Raw genomic sequence first — 17,234 nt, 5'->3', positions numbered from 1 at the left:
ATTGAAATAGAAATGATGTATGATAAAACTCACCCATTTGAAGCATGCATTTCAGTGATTTTTGGTATGTTAGCAGAGTTGTACAACCATCATCACAATTTTAGGTCGTTTTTATCACCTTCCAAAAAAACTCACACGCCCATTAGCAGTCACTCCCTTTTCCCCCTTAGTGCCTATTCTTCCACTTCCCCAAGCTCTAAGCAAGCAGTAGTCTATTTTCTACCCCTATAGAGCCATCTATTCTGGACCTTTCATATAAACAGAATCATGCAGTACATGTTCCTGTGTGACGATTTTCTTTTCTATTTAGCAAAATGTTTTTAAGTTTCAGCCATGTTTTACAGTGTATCATGTCATATCGTTTTATTTTCAATCATTGTGTGGCTATATCACATTTTGTTCATTCGCTCATCAGTTTGTGGCTATTTGGGTTGTTTCTGCTTTATGGCTGTTATGAATAATGCATGTCTAAAGTTTTTGTGTGGACACATGTGCTTTTGTGTACCTAGGAGTAAAATTGCTGGGTCACAAGGTTACTCTATGCTTACCATTGTGAGGAACTGCCCAACGGCTTTCCAAAGTGGCGATGTCATCAGCACCCATTTTTGATATCTTGAGGATGATCAATTCTCTGGTGAGAATAAAGTTAGGACTACATCAGATTTGAGGTACTTCTAGAGCTGGAGTAATAGATGCATCCTCAGATATCATCCAATAAATTCTAGTTTTCCTAACATGTGCTAGGGGACTTGCTGGAATTGAGCTGCTACTAAGAAGCCATTCACTTTTATCTCTAACTCCTGGAAGAATAAGAACATCAGCCCTTAGTGAGCCAGTTTTAGAGTTGGCAGAATATTACTGGCTTTGAAGAAAATTAGGTCTTTTAAAAATACCAACTTGTGGCATCAGAGAAGTATCAGAAAGCTAAAACATATAATTGCCTTTTATTAAAATAAGTACCAATAAGGTGGTGAATTAATCTATCTGGAAACAACTATTTGGATGGTAGACTATAGTACCAGGGGAAAGAAAGGCAAATTCTAAAAGTATTTAGCAAACCAGAACAACGATACAACCCACAGGAAATATTATGGGGGCATGGAATACCTGCTTGCTTTTGAATAATTTCTTATGTATGACTAGACAGCTCTTATACTTGATGTGATGATTATTGAGTCAAATGCAATTCATGTCATTAACATCCCCAACTCACTTGGGAAGCTGCAACTTAGCTGACGACAGTCCTTGAAAATCACTCATTTCCACATTAGCAATAAGGTTAGTTAATTAAGTGAAAGTTACTTATATTTGAAGGCATGCAGTTAAAGACATTGTTACGGTTTATAATCAATGCTTTTAAAAACTTTCACTTAGTGTTAGAGAAATCAGTCAACTTTATTTTTCAGAGTGATGTGTTATTTACTTTAAGCTCAGAGATAAGTGTTTTAATCTTGTTCATTGTCTGTTATTAACTCCTATAAAACAACTCATTGAGTTGAATTGGTGTGAAAATAGGATAAAGTTCAAGCCAGAAATCAGACTAAATAGTTGGCTGAAAAGTTTTGACACTCCCGCTACTCATTCTGTGAGCCTGTATGTAGTGGGTTAAATTCCCCCAATAATTTAAGGGTCATTGGACACCTTCATTACATTTTTCCTTTATAAAGAAAAATGTGCTTGCAAACAACTTTTATGCAATCGACAAAGAACTGCTCGTAGAGCCTGAAGCAGAAGCAAGTACGCCATCTGTTTTTATTTTTGAATAAATAAGCAGAGCACTGTACAGTGAAAACAACTAGAGGATAAATGAATGCACACATTCATTTAAGCTGCAGTAAAGTCTGTTAGTTCTTTTGGTGTATCATTAATCAAAGTCAGATAATTTCGATTGAAGAGGTATTTGTATTAAATAAGGAAAGTAGTTTACAGACCAAGCAATCCATTAATGTCATGGAACAAAGGAAAATTATATGCTCTGCACAAAATATTTTTGAAAAGATAATTCAGGCCACAGAAAAACTTTGATAATGTGTTCAACATTTCAGAAGCTTTGCCATTTCACAGACTATAAACTTTGATAATGTGTTCAACATTTCAGAAGCTTTGCCATTTCACAGACTATGACTTTGGCCACAGCTACACATCACTTGCTGGTCTGGGAGAAACTTCAGTGATAGCAACTCCAGAGCTACAAAATTTTAATAAGCTAACTTATGCCTCAAGAGAGTTGAATAAAACAAGATTGTATGAATATGCCACCACTATGAGGTCAATGCTACAATTAAAACCCAATGAAGGGCAGTAATATCTGGGATATAATTATTAGCCTATAACTGGCTCATATTTAATGGTACAGTATCCCGGACTTAACAATAACACCGTTAATTTAAAACAGGTCAGAATGATTATACTTTGTTGAGTAGCAGAGAAAACAGAAAAATACAAAAACTTTTAGAAAAGATGATTATTATTTTGGGGGGGAGCTGGAAGTATGCAACATTGATCTTAACGTCCCTCTAATTTGTTGAAACATGGAACATGGAATAGTAACACAAAAATATCAAAACACACTGTCAGGGTTCCCAGGACACTTATCAGTCCTACATATTCAGACACTATTATAATTTAGCCTGCAAGTGGGCACAGTTTGTGAGTCTTAAGTCTGTAGCATATGAACTGTGGTACAGCCACAAGATAGCGCAATCTGAGCAGTTGTGAAATCAGAGGAAGCCTGCTGTTACCTTCACATGGTGAATTTGCTGAGTGTCAGGAGCCGTCAGACACAAGGTCACCTAAGAGGGCAACACTGGAGATACTTCCAGGGTTCCTGGCACTGAGAGTTTCTTGGGGGAATAACTTGGCAACTGATTAACTTGGAGATGATCAGCAACTCCATTTTATCCTGGATGTCTTATGATATGAAATCTGTCTTTTCAATTATAGTGTCCAAAACCCACCTATTAAATGTTTGTAAAGCACTTAGAACAGTGAGTACACAGGTCATGCTATGCATGTGTTTATTGGAAAAGTATGCTTTCAGTTTTATAACTCCCAGCAAATACTAAATCTCATGTTAAAAAGGGGGATATGAGCGGCAGGACAGCATATGGAGCTTAGTGCTCCAGGAGATTCTGAGATGTGGCTCATTTGATAATTCATTATGACTCACTACGATTGGGAAGGTGAGATGACATTACACAACAGAACCCTTGGCAGGTCCAGTTGCCAGTTTCTTTTAGCGATGTGCATAATCCACACTAATCTTTAAACATGACCATTTAATTCAGGGAGACAAAGCATGATATTGACTGCTCAGATCAATGTTCTTTTTACAAATCTCTTACCTTTATGGAAGACAAACACAGAACCATTGTTAGAAGCAACAGTCTCTGGAAATTCATGATTTAGGAATAAGAGATGCCAAACTGTGTCTCTTGTGGCAGATATTTAAAATGGAAGTATGAGCCTTATGAGGTATATTGAGGTGAATTCTATTCAAGAAGTTCCTCCTCTAAAATGTTCCTACAGAACAAAACAGAATTTATAACCAAGCTTTCTTGTTTGTATCTCATGAAATATCATCCTAAACCTCTTAAATGGTCTAAAAGCAACTGATGATTTCATCAACATCATAATTGTATTAGGGTTCTCTAGAGGGACAAAACTAATAGGATATATATATATATATACATATCCTATATATATATCTATCCTATATATATATCTATCCTATATATCCTATATATATATCTATCCTCTATATATATCCTATATATATCTATCCTATATATATATCTATCCTATATGTATATCTATCCTATATATATATCTATCCTATATGTATATCTATCCTATATATATATCCTATATATATATATGTATAAAGGAGAGTTTATTAAGAGTAAACTCACGCAATCATAAGGTCCCACAATAGGCTGTTTGCAAGCTGAGTTGCAAGGAAGCCTGTTCGAGTCTCAAAACCGAAGAACTTGAAGTCTGATGTTAGAGGGCAGGAAGCATCCAGCACAGGAGAAGGATATAGGCTGGGAGCCTAAGCCAGTCTAGTCTTCACGTTTTTCTGCCTGTTTTATATCCTAGTTGTGCTGGCAGCTGATTGGATGGTGCCCACCCAAATTAAGGGTGGATCTCCCTTTCCCAGCCCACTGACCCAAATGTTAATCTCCTTTGGCAACACCCTCACAGACACACCCAGGATCAATACTTTGTATTCTTCTATCCAATCAAGTTGACATTCAGTATTAACCATCGCAATAATCAACATGGAACTAAAATGTAAATTCATGTCATACAAGGCAAACAAGTTTTATAAGCACTTTTTTTCATTTACACAACTGTTTTTTTTTTTTTTTTTTTTTTTTTTTTGAGACGGAGTCTCGCTCTGTCGCCCAGGCTGGAGTGCAGTGGCGGGATCTCGGCTCACTGCAAGCTCCGCCTCCCGGGTTCACGCCATTCTCCTGCCTCAGCCTCCCAAGTAGCTGGGACTACAGGCGCCCGCCACTACGCCCGGCTAATTTTTTGTATTTTTAGTAGAGACGGGGTTTCACTGTTTTAGCCGGGATGGTCTCGATCTCCTGACCTCGTGATCCGCCCGCCTCGGCCTCCCAAAGTGCTGGGATTACAGGCGTGAGCCACCACGCCCGGCCACAACTGTTTTTAAAAAATAGATTTTATTTGTTTAGAGCAGTTTTATGCACATAGCAATATTGAGTAAACGGTGCCGAGCTTTCCCATATACTCCATGCCCCTACACATGCACAGCCTTCCAGACTGTTAACATCATCATCAGACTACATTTACACCGTGGAATACTATGCAGCTATAAAAAGGAATGAGATCATGTCCTTCGCAGTAACATAAATGGAGCTGGAGGCCATTATCCTTAGCAAACTAACTCAGGAACAGAAAACCGAATACTGCATGTTCTCACTTATAAGTGGGAATTAAATTATGAGAACACACGGACACATTGAGGGAAACAGCACACACTGAGGCCTGTTAGAGGGTGGGGCATGGAAGGAGGGAAAGGGTAAGGAAGAAAAGCTAGTGGATGCTGGGCTTAATACTTGGGTGATGGGATTATCAGTGCAGCAAACCACCATGGTGCAGGTTTACCTATGTAACAAATCTGCATATTCTGCATATGTACCCCAGAACTTAAAATAATTGAACTTAAAAAAAAATCACCACCAGAATGGCACATTTTTTCAATTGATGAATGTACATTGACACATCGTCACCCAAAGTCTATAGTTTACATTAGAGTTCACTTGTATGCTCTATGGGTTTGGATAAATGTATGATGATGTGTATCCACCATTACAGTATCATACAGAGTAGTTTCATTGCCCTAAAAATCCTCTGTGCTCCACCTACTCAGTCCTCTCTCTAAACTCCTGGCAATCACTTATCTTTTTACTGTCTCCATTGTTTTGCCTTTCTCAGAGTGTCATCGAGTCGGAATCCTGCAGTATGTAGCTTTTTCAGATGGCTTTGTTCTTTTGTTTAGTAATGTACATTTAAGTTTCTCCCATGTTTTTTTTTTTCATGGATTGATAGCTATTTTCTTCTTAGTGCTGAATACTATTTCCCCTTTTGGGTGTACCACAGTTTAGTTATCCATTCATCTATTGGAGGACATCCTGGTTACTTTCCAGTTTTGGCAATTATGAATAGAAGTGCTGTAAGCATGTGTGTGAAGGTTTTTTTTTTTTTGGGGGACACACATTTTCAACCAATTTGAGGAAAGTGAAAAGAGCGCAGTTGCTGGAATGTGTGATAAGACTGTATTTAATTTTGTAAGAAACAGCCAAACTGTCTTCCAAAGTGGCTGAGTCATCTTGCATTCCCACCAGCAGTGAAGGAGAGTTCCTGCTGCCATATCCTTTTGCAGCATTTGGTGTTGTCAGTACATGCTCTTTTAAAATATAATACTAGTTAATCAAATATAATCTTGATTTCAGAAGTTATCAAGACACTCTGACTAGTTAGGTTGCTGTCTCATTCTCTCTGAAGCTGCAAATTTTGTCCAGGAATACAATACTCAGAGGAAAACTGCTATACTTCCTTGCAGAAATCCATTCTTTACAATATCCATTGAGGAGAGTTTACTATATAATGATGTCATTGTTACAGTGAGCTACATACATCATCTATGATAGTCATTCACCAATGTAATATTCATTGAAATAAGTATCAAATGAGCACTAATATATAACAGATCCTCTGCTGGGCACTGGAGGTTCAAGGGTGGACAAAACTATTAGAGTCTTTCCCTTTAGGAGCTTACAATTTAATGGTGAAGAAAGATTTTAACCAAATAATCACAGCAATGAACCTATAACTAAAAGTGGAATAAGTTATATGAAGAATAGTGCAGGAAGTGAAGAAGGTATGTAATAGGGAGATCTGACCTAGTTTGAGAGCCTGTGGTGTATGGCAGGGGAGGAGGATGGGTCAAGGTCATGGGACACTTCCCAGACAGAGTGATGATTGAGCTTAAATATGAAGGATGAGAAATAATTTAGTGGATGTTGTGATATTCCACCCAGTTTCTCCCTTCAGAGCCCATGCACCCATCTCCCACTTGCTGATGGCTGGCAGCTGTGTCCTTCAGTGGAAATTGCCCTCAGCCTCTGGGAACTATGTTGCTCAAGGTAACAGCTCCTCCTGCTTGCAGGGGGCACCCTGTGGCCAACAGTGAACAACAATGAAAGTGAAAATGCTAAGGCCCCACCTCATACCTATTTGAGGCAACGTTGAAGGATCTTCCCATTTCCAGATCTTCTCTTAAGTTTTTCTGAAATCTCAGTGGCAACTGCATTGTAGGTCAGAATTTTCCTCTGCCCAATACCTCTGCTTTTACTTCCTGGCAGCTGTACCTCCTGAGATCACTTCTCAATATATTTCAGCACATGATTCTCCGCCTCACAGGTGAAGGCAGGTAATGGTATCAGTCCTAGGAAGCAGAATCTAAAATGGAATTTGGGAGATGGATCACTTGCCAGCTATATGGCACTAGGACCCTATCAGTGGTGGTGGGTGGTGTTTGAATTGCTCCTGGCATGTTGCACTGATGCGACTGTTAAAATTTTCACCTGTAGTGAACTGTGACCAGATACCTGTGGAAGGAGATACATTGACAGATGCGTTATTTTTGGCTGTCAAGAGAGAAAAGGGAAAACTATAAGGACCATGGAATTAGGTTACTGGAGCTCCACTGATTTGTTGAAAAGATATAATTACAGGCTCAGGGTGATCAATTACCTATTATAGGCAACATTAAAAACAAACAAAAAACCCCGCAACAACTGGAGAATCTCATCTTTTGCCTTCTTACCAGAGGGCAAAAAGATGAAGGACCTTGATCAGAACTTAATCATAAGAGTAGTTGACATCCAGAAAAAGGTTGAATTCTGAGACCTGATGGATTTTTTTAAACCAAGGTTAGGGCCCTAATAAGGAAAGAGTGAGACCTTGAGAATTGGGATCAGCTCAACCTTGAACACATAAATTATTCTTATTTTTCTGGGCCTATAGAATTGCCTAATTCCCCTTTTTAGAAGGTAACTCCCTCTAACCCATCCTCCTATCCTTGCCTTTGCTTGAGGATCATAAATCTCAGATGAGGTAGATGTCTTATAGAACAATGCTTGTTCCCAATTAAGATTTACTTCTATCACTCTTCCTCACAATCAGACCAAAACAGAGGTTAAATTGCAGCACAACTTGGTGAGGTGTGCCAGACCTGGGAAGGGAAGAGAGGACCTATATATCAATGGAGCAGTGTGATCTGTTACTATGTACCAGCGAGAGCTGGAAGCATGTGCATAGCAGAGCTCTCCCGTGATGTTGGATCAAGGGGCAACCAATTGATACAGGATGCTCTTCTGTGATACAGAGTTTAACACACTGGCAAGTGCTCTTAGAAATTTTAAAAAGTGATGTCTCGCATTGAATGAAGTGGATATGATCAAACTGTCAGGGCAGACAAAGGAAGAAAGAACTAAAAGGCTCTGAAAATAGTATCCTGGAGTAGATATACTGTGCAAGGTTGGAAAACCTACTTGCCTAATAAGTTCTGCAACATAACATTCCATTTACTGAACAGAGAATGTGCTTTTGAGAGGGATGCCAGAACTTCATCATTTAGAAGCTCTACTGTGTCTGTCCTCTACAAACTGGACTCCTTGTAAACAATGGTGATGATAGGGTTCTATAATAATACAGACCATGTAAAGTACTTAATAGACAGAAACAATTACTGGAGAGGCAGTTATTGCAATGAATGGAAAGATCAAAGTGGTAGCTAGGGGTCCCAATCCACAGAGAACTGGAGGTGGTTAAGAGAACATTGTGATTTCAGGGACAAGATAGATGGGCAAGTAACAAGACTTTTACTTTATTCGTGCAATCAAAGGAAATCAGGGATGGATGATCAGAAATCCAAATGCAGCTGACAGATTCTGGACCTAGATAATTCTCAGATATGGAATCTCTTTACTGACGAAAAAGTCATGTCTCCACCAGGACCTTACAACACTGTGACAAGCATATTCAATAGCTGTTTCCCCACTATTCCCCAAAGGTATCTCTAGTCATTTGCTTAGATAATCATGCATTGGCAAATGGGAAATAACTACACATTTCCAGGATTATGAGACATAGAGTCTGAATTGACATTAATACCCATTGATAACTTAGCCCTCCTGTCTGAGTGGGGATATATGGAAGCCAGATAATAAATGAATTCCTGGCCCAGGCACAACTTATAATGAGTCCGCTGGGTTTAAAGACTCTGTTGATTTTTATTTTCATAGATTTTGAATTTACATTTGGGATGGCTAGAGGTGGTAGTTGGCAGAATTTTCCTATTGTTTTCTTGGTCCAAGGATGAAGGTAGGGGAAAGAGCACTGAAAGTATATAGTATAATGCTTTGAAACTGACCCACTGCTCAGGAAAAATAGCAAATCAAAAACAATAGCAGATCACGGGGGGACAGGAAGAGATAAACGTTATTTTAAAATATTTAAAGAATGTAGGACTAGTATTTCCTGTCATATCCTCATTGAGATTCACCAGTCTAGCCTTTACTAGGAATGGATGGATAATGACAATTTACAGTGGATTACCATAAACTGTACCAAGCAGTGGCTCTAATTGCAGTTGCTTTGTCAGATGGCGTATCTTTACTAGAGGAGAACATCACAGCCTGTGAAATATTATACAGACCCACTGAGAGATGCATTTTTTTTCCATTCTATCAGGAAGGAGGATTAAAATCCCTGGTTAATGTCCTGGATGCTTGGTCTGGAATTTGAAAAGAGAAAGATTAGAAGCTCAGGGACCAAAAGATCAGAAGAAGAGGCACATGGATAGACCTATGGGAGTGGGCACAGAATGACGATCTCTGTATCACAGGTTAACCCACCAGAGGCACTAGTCAAGCAATGCCTCCAATGAACCAATCACTTCTTTTTCATGTGGCTAGTTGACATCAGCCAGTCCCTATCAATCAGTCACAGGGCTGGCATAATTGGCACATAAATGAAGTAGCCATGGTGGCAGAAGTGGTTGTGAAAGCCGAGTTGCACGGGCTTTCTCTCAACAATAATGATTTTGCTATAGCCTCTGCCAAAAGTCCAGCTTGCAATATCAGAGACCAATATTTAGCCCTTGGTATGACACACTTTACCCAAGGAATGGAGCTTACCAGAAAGTTGACTACGATGGACCTCTCCTACCCCTGAAGAAGCAGTGATTTATCCTTAATGGAATCCACAGATAGTTTGGGTGTGAGTATTTATTTCCCACTGCAAGGCCATTGCTAATATCACTAGCTGCAGATTTTTGAAGATTTTGTCTGCTGGTACAGGATACTGTGTAACCTGTCCTTAGACCAAGAGAATCAAATGATAACAAATGAGGTGTAGTTGCAGTAGAGGATGTGTGACTACACGCTCCATTTGTTTTATATCATTATTCTCACAAACCAAAACCTGTCAATCTGATACACTGGTAAAGTCATGTTTAAAACGTGCAACTGAGGTCCCTGGTCGGAAACCATACCCTGTGAGGATGATATTCACTTCAGGACGTGGTATTCACTGAAAATCAATGACTATTATGTTGTTCTGTATCTGCTTTAGGCTAGAATACATGGATCTGGGAACCAACAGATGGAATTAGAAGTGGTGTTGCTTTCCATCACCCCAGTTTTCTCTAGGGCATTTGTAATTTCTGTTACCACAGTTATAGTCTCCGTGAGTCTAAAGATCTTGGTTCTCAGAATGGTAGTGCTTTCCACTAGAGGATACAGTAGAGTCCTATTACAGTTTAAGCTAGTTCTTTCATATGGTTATTTTGGTCTTCTCATGTCAAGGGGCCGGCAATCAAGTGAAGGAGTCACCATTTCAGTGGGTGGTCAGCTCAGATCAGCAGGAGGAGGCAGGGCTGCTGCTGTACAATGGGGATGGGGTGGAAAGTGCTTGAGCTCAGGTGACCTACTAAAACATCTCTTGGTGCTCTGTTGTCCAGTTTTAATGTTAAACGGAAAGGTACAGTATCCATTATCTGAGAAGGACATAATAACTACTGGGACTCAGACCCCTTGGGGATAAGGGCCTAGGTCCCCCACGTGGCAAGCCACCAGCTGGACCAACAGAGGGGCCAGGCAAGGTGAAAACAATCTAAGATGAGTGCTGGAGGAGAGGATGATGAGGGTCAGTTATGGCCTTGAGATTAACTGTGCAACAATACAGGTTGTTTCCTCCCACTTTCTTCTACATTCTCCCAGAAGTAAGACCAACCAGCACCCTGAGAAAGCTCTTTCCAGATGGGGCTAACTTTCTATAAAAAATAAGCAAATTGGAGAATGCAAGGGATATTGCAGTACTTCACTCACATTGCATTCCCAGGACCAATGCACCCCTCCCTGAGCTGCTGGGCATATCAATTACTGATAGGTCATGGCTGCATCCTTCACAGGGAATTGTATTTGGACACATGGAGCTGCAATAATCAAGTTTATGCCCTTTCCCAGGGCAGTTTCTGACTAGTGACTGTTGTGAGAACGTGAACAGCCAACCCTTTTCTGTGACTTGGGGCTAACTTGAAGGACTATCCCAGTTCTAGAGCTCTCCTTAGGCAGGTGGAAGTCTTAATGGCAACCACATTGCATGTCAGCACTTTTGCCCATCCCTGTCTTCTTCAGTTCCTTACAGGTGTAACCCCAAGAATGCTCCTCCATAAGGTCATGGCCCTGATCTTCTAGGATTCGTGTCATTATAAAAGGAGGCAGCAAAGAGCTCTCTCCCTGTCTCTGAATACACACACTGAAGAAAGGCCATATGAGGTCTTAAGAAGAAGGCAGCCATCTCCAAACCAGAAAGAGGGTCCTCACCAGGCCCAAAACCAGCTGGCACCGTGATCATTAACATTTAGTCTTCAGAACTGTGAGAAAATGAATTTCTATTGTTTAAGCCACCAAGTCGGTGGCATTTTGTTATGGTGGCCCAAGCTGACAAATACACCATGTCACACTATTTCCAGGGCACTTAATCTATGACACGCACTGAAATATTCCAGAGGCAGGCACCTCTATCTGTCCTGAGCTCTAAGGAGGATGTTGGGTCGTAGAGTTTCAGAAATAGTTCTGGACTGAAGAGTTCTGGCAATAATTTTAAAGGAAGAGACTTTTAAAGGTATATTCGAGACTCTATTTAAAGAGGAAAGAATGACCTATAAATTGAAAAAAAAAAAACAAAACGCTTTCCTCAGCAAATTTTTTAATCTCAACTATTTTAAAGCTAACACAGTAAGATTTTAACAGAACGATTTTGGCAACACAGAACATGTGGATTACAATTACTTATTTAAGTGCAACAAGATGCTAGAGACAGGTAAATATACACTTTATTATTGAATCTATCTTTATCAAGTTCCTTGATGTGTATTTAGTCCAATATATTGAGTAAAACAGAGTATTAACCGGAATGGTACAAAAGAATCATATGCTCTTTAACTGGACCCCCTATAAACTCTTCTACCTTCATAAGCAATGGAAGGATCTGAAGCCCAGGCTGGAGTCCAGTGGGATGATCTTGGCTCACTACAACCTCTGCCTACTGGATTCAAGCAATTCTCCTGCCTTAGCCTCCCAAGTAGCTGGGACTACAGGCATGCACCACCACACCAACCTAATTTTTGTATTTTTTAGTAGAGACAGGGTTTCACTGTTGGCCAGGCTGGTCTCGAAGTCCTGACCTCAAGTGATTCACCCGCCTCAGCCTTCCAAAGTGCTGGGATTACAGGAGTGAGCCACCGCGCCCGGCCCACCAATTGGGTCTTAAATGTAGAGGAAGAGGAGGGAGGTAGACTAAAGAAGAGAGAAAAATTTAAAAGAAGAAATCAAGGAGATTTAAGAGAAAAGATTTTAAAAGAGGTCAAGTTGAGGATGAAAGAAATGGCTGGTATAGAGCATTCACAAATAAGGGAGAAATGCTAAGGCCACATGTAATATTGAAAAGTCCTGGCAATAACACACACACATGCGCGCACGCGCACATACACACACACAGCAAAGAAAAAACTGTAACTCAAACCATCTTTCTTTCCCCTTCCATTTCAGTCATTTCCACCCAGCCCCCGCCCCCAGGATATTTTAACTTGTTTAGTTCAAAGCAGAAACAAAGGGAACTACTTTACCACTTTATTTTTATATTTCCGAATGTAGAATCCAACACAGCATGGGGTTTCATGCATGCGTACAAACGCTGTGCCCACAGCAAACCTCAAAGTAATCAGGTCCCCTAACAAAACTGAAAGGGCTTGGAATCCATCCCCGTTACTGATATTACATTAGTTCATTCCAGAATTCAGTAAGAGAGGATCATTTCAATATTGATTTAAAAATTACATTTTCTCCAAAGGAAAAAAAAATCTTCTTTTATAGTTTTTCCATAGTGAATACAAGTCATACTGAGTAGGAAGGGCTGGAAAGACAGTCCAGATTTTTTGTGTAAAACTTTTTCTCTTCTTTAAAAAGGTTATTATTCATGGACAAGATATTTGAACTACCCGTGTAGTTATTATTTTATCTACCCTTAAAAATAACTACCCTTGTAGTTATCCAAATAATGGATATTAAGGTTTAGCAGTTTTTATTCGCTTTGGGCTGTGAGTTATCATAGTCTCTTTTTCTAGGAGTCTTCTTTTCTCATTTAAGGGTGCAAAATATGTTACATCAAAATCTAGTTTCTAAGAAACATTATTTTAATGGAAACTTGTAGTTTAAAATATACCTGACTAATGTTTAGGAAGAGACACCTGTTTCCAATACCTCTGATTTTTCCATCTGTTAGGATGTGCCTTAAACTCAAGAAATAGGTTTTGGCTATAAGATCCTCTAGAGTAAGGTCTAGGTTTTGTTTCTCTCTCCCTAGAGTATAACAAACTGATAGGCATACAATAGCTTCTTTTCCAATTAGAACTGATTACATTTTTTCCCTAAAATTATTTATTTCTAATGTCTGTTATAATATGTGACTAGAAAATATTCCACTATTCCACTCTTGCTGGCCCTCTCTTCTCTCCTCTCCTCTCCTCTATTCTCTTCTGTTATCCTCTCCTCTCTTTTCTCCTATCCTCTCCTCTCCTCTTCTCTTCTCTTCTCTCTCTTTTCTTTCTTGAGATAGAGTCTCTTTCTGTCACCCAGGTTGGAGTGCAGTGGCACGATCTTAGCTCACTGCAACCTCTGCCTCCTGGATTGAAGCAATTCTCCTGCGTCGAAGCAATTCTCCTGCGTCAGCCTCCTGAGTAGCTGGGATTACAGGCACCTGCCACCACGTCCCACTAATTTTTGTATTTTTAGTAGAGACGGGGTTTTGCCATTTTGGCCAGACTAGTCTCGAACTCCTGACCTCAGGTGATCCACCCCCCTCGGCCTCTCAAAGTGCTTGGATTACATGTGTAAGCCACCACGCCCGGCCGTCTTCTGTTTCTTCTACATGTTGTGGTGCATTTTCCTCCTGGGAGTTCTGAAATCAATCCAGTTGAAACTTTAAGCAGCCTCAAGTTTTTCTCAGCTTTTAAAATGTACTTTATAATTTTTTTCCCTTATATTTATTAAACTATTTGGACCACAGTTTATTCCATGACAATGAGTTCAGTATTAAATATTTATTGAACAGTTTCTACATGTACAGCAGCACTCTAGATGACTTTTTAAAAATGAAACTTTGCTGTACTTTTAAATTATTGCACAGTCAGAGATGTTTCAGTAGTATACATAAAATTTATTTCTTCTTCCTAAAGCTGTTTTCTCAGCCTGGGTATGGATATGCATTAGTTTCCTAGGGTAGCATTGCTTCAGATCACTTTCTTCTCCACTAAGTGGTGACATCTTGCGGCATTTTTTTTTTTTTTTTTTTTACCAGAAAATGAGTAAATACATGGCGCCCGTCCTGAAAACTCATCACCTCACTCATGAAAGAAAAACTCGTATGTGTTCAAAATTGTCTTCTCCATGATTACAGATAAAATTCCCCTAAAATATTTTGTAAATCAAAAATGAAAATGGTTTATTTCTCTGAAAGGCCTTCTGCTGCAGCAAGGTTGAGGCTGCTGGTAATTTCCTTTGATGCAGCATATCTGTCTGCAAGCCCCCTTCCAATCCACACTCTGGAATCTTCCACTGCTGATTTAGATCATCTTGTTTTCACAGGAGTATAGCCTCACTCTGGCAAGACTAATATATTCATATTTTCCCCTGCAGATAATGTATTTGCTCAGACAGAAAAAAAATGGAGAATAAATCTAAACAGGCACAGATGTAGAGAGCTTGTACAGCTCCTGGTAAAAGTGGTGCTTAGATGAGACATTATCTACTGCATGACACAAACATGACCCTTATACCACCATTGCTCGGGTGCTCTAAATGCCACCCTTTGCACTTCTGTAGAAGTAAATCAAAGCACATTACGTAATGATCTTGGGTCAAAAAGTTATTTTCATAGACATTTGATGTGAAATAATAAAAAAATGAACCACTTAACTGACAGCTCCCCAGCATGGAAAACATCACTAGTACTTCCCAGGGGACAAAGCAATAAGAAGGCTAGAGGAGACAAAATGGAATGCTGAAGTTAAAAACACTGGGTAATTGGCCCTGTGTATCTATGCCGTTCTTACTACACTGATACTATTGGGCAGCATCCAAAAATCAAACAGCACTGCTCCTGAGATATGGAGCAAATTAGAACATAGTCCTGAAACATGCCAGGGTTCCTTTGGTGTCTCATAACTTTAAGGTTTCCTGACTAGCATTTGCTCTTCTGGAATATTGTTCACTTTCTCTTTACTTTCTACAAAAACACTTTCTCTTTAAAGTTCAATACAAATGTTCAGCAAAATTATCAGCTAACTTTTATTAACATTTTGCTTTACAGCAGCATCTAAGCCCTTAGGCTTATATTTAAAGTGGATCAAAACAGTTCCTTTATGGCCAACAACTTCATTCCTGGAGATTTCATAAGTAGAACCACTTTCCAGATGGCCTGATTTTAAAAGCTACAATTTATTCCTCTAAAACTCCTTAAAATCTTCTATCCTTGTGTTAGAGAATTTTTGATAAAATCTCCTAGGTGGACAACCTGTACAATGGAACAAGAAGAGGTCAAAGATACTTTGGGGGTTTTGAGCCTCAGTGCTGGAGAAAAGGGAATCATCTGGGAGGGGCAATAATAAAGAAGAACTTATATTTGCAGACAGCATATTTAAAAGACAATATAGGGGCTGGGTGCGGTGGCTCACGCCTGTAATCCCAGCACTTTTGGGAGGCTGAGGCGGGGGGATCATCTGAGGTCAGGAGTTTGAGACCAGCGTGGCCAACATGGTGAAACCCTGTCTCTGCTAAAAATACAAAAAAAATTAGCCAGGCCTGGTGGCGGAAGCCTGTAATCCCGGCTACTTGGGATGCTGAGGCAGGAGAATTGCTTGAACCAGGAAGGCGGAGGTTGCAGTGAGTCAAGATTACGCCACTACACTCCAGCCCAGGCAGCAGAGTGAAAAACAAAACAAAACAATACAATATGGGAGAGACTGTTTACTAAAACTTGAAAAACAAAAAAAACAATTATCTGGCCTGTTTTCTGGTCAGCTTTGTCCCATCTTCCTGCTCTGAATGGTCCCTGGGTCATCAAACACATACATTTGGAAGTAGAGAGGTAACAGCTACATCTTGCTCCTAACAAATTCCATTGCATTACTTTATATAAAAATACTATACAAATTCGACATATTTTGGGCACCATCCATGTACCAACTACTTTATTAGTTACATCTTCTATGTTATTTATGTTAATTTTTCAAAATAACTCTATGTGGGAGGCATTATTAGGTAACAACCCTATGAAGGAGATAGTTGCAAAAACTAAGCCTTGTAGAGCTTAGGTAACTTACTCTACAGTTACATAACCATTGGGTGGATGGAATGTTTGCATCTAAGTCTCTCCAGGAAATTTTGTGATATCTCCACTAGTATTTGTTGCTGTTTTTCTCAACTAATTAATAAATCCATAGTGTGCAATTTTAGTAATCTTACTTTGATTTCCATTGATCTGAATGCATGCAGCATGCTTTTCTGTTGCTCTAGTCCCAAACGTCCTTGTTCAGTGGGTGTATAGTGAAAAAGCAAACAACGGGCTTTATCAGAAGCAAATTCCTTTCTAGTATCTTCTTAATGACCCTGTCTTTGATGCAGCTATTTTCCTGCAGTTTTACATTTCTATGGTAGCAACCCTACTGCTGAAAAGCCCTTTAAAAAACATTCTGATCCTCTGCCATAGAGGCAACCTGTTATTGAGCAAGTGATTGCTCTTAGGACAACATGATGTTACCATAAGAGGGTCAGATGTTGAGTGCAAGCCATACTCTGTCATGTAGAGAGAATTCAACATTTCAGAACAATAGACTAAGAACTTAGGAAAGAGTATCATTACAAATTCTGCACCGTGTTTCCCTGTTTGCTTTTTAGATATACATGTCATGATTTTCTTTGACCCTGATCCTCCTTGTCATTCTGGGATGTGGGTGGACTTATCAGGTACTTGGCTAGAATATGGATAAGGTATACAGGTCTCAAGAGATCAAGACTTATCAGGTACTTGGCCAGAATATGGATGAGGTATACAGGTCTCAAGACATCAAGTTAAGGGCC

General features: G+C 39.6%; 1 annotated feature.

Moving 5' to 3' along the window:
- Nucleotides 10,443-10,943: an enhancer, noted in NCBI's record as "OCT4-NANOG-H3K4me1 hESC enhancer chr6:154165602-154166102 (GRCh37/hg19 assembly coordinates)". NCBI's record gives its function as "activates a minimal SCP1, AML or CMV promoter by ChIP-STARR-seq in primed H9 embryonic stem cells {active_cell/tissue: H9 hESC(primed)}" and the evidence as "EXISTENCE:reporter gene assay evidence [ECO:0000049][PMID:30033119]".

The sequence above is a fragment of the Homo sapiens genome, chromosome 6, assembly GCF_000001405.40.
Source record: "Homo sapiens chromosome 6, GRCh38.p14 Primary Assembly".
Lineage (NCBI taxonomy): Eukaryota > Metazoa > Chordata > Mammalia > Primates > Hominidae > Homo > Homo sapiens.
The sequence above is the reverse complement of the archived record's forward strand: the minus strand, read 5'-3'. Positions and strand labels throughout refer to the sequence as shown.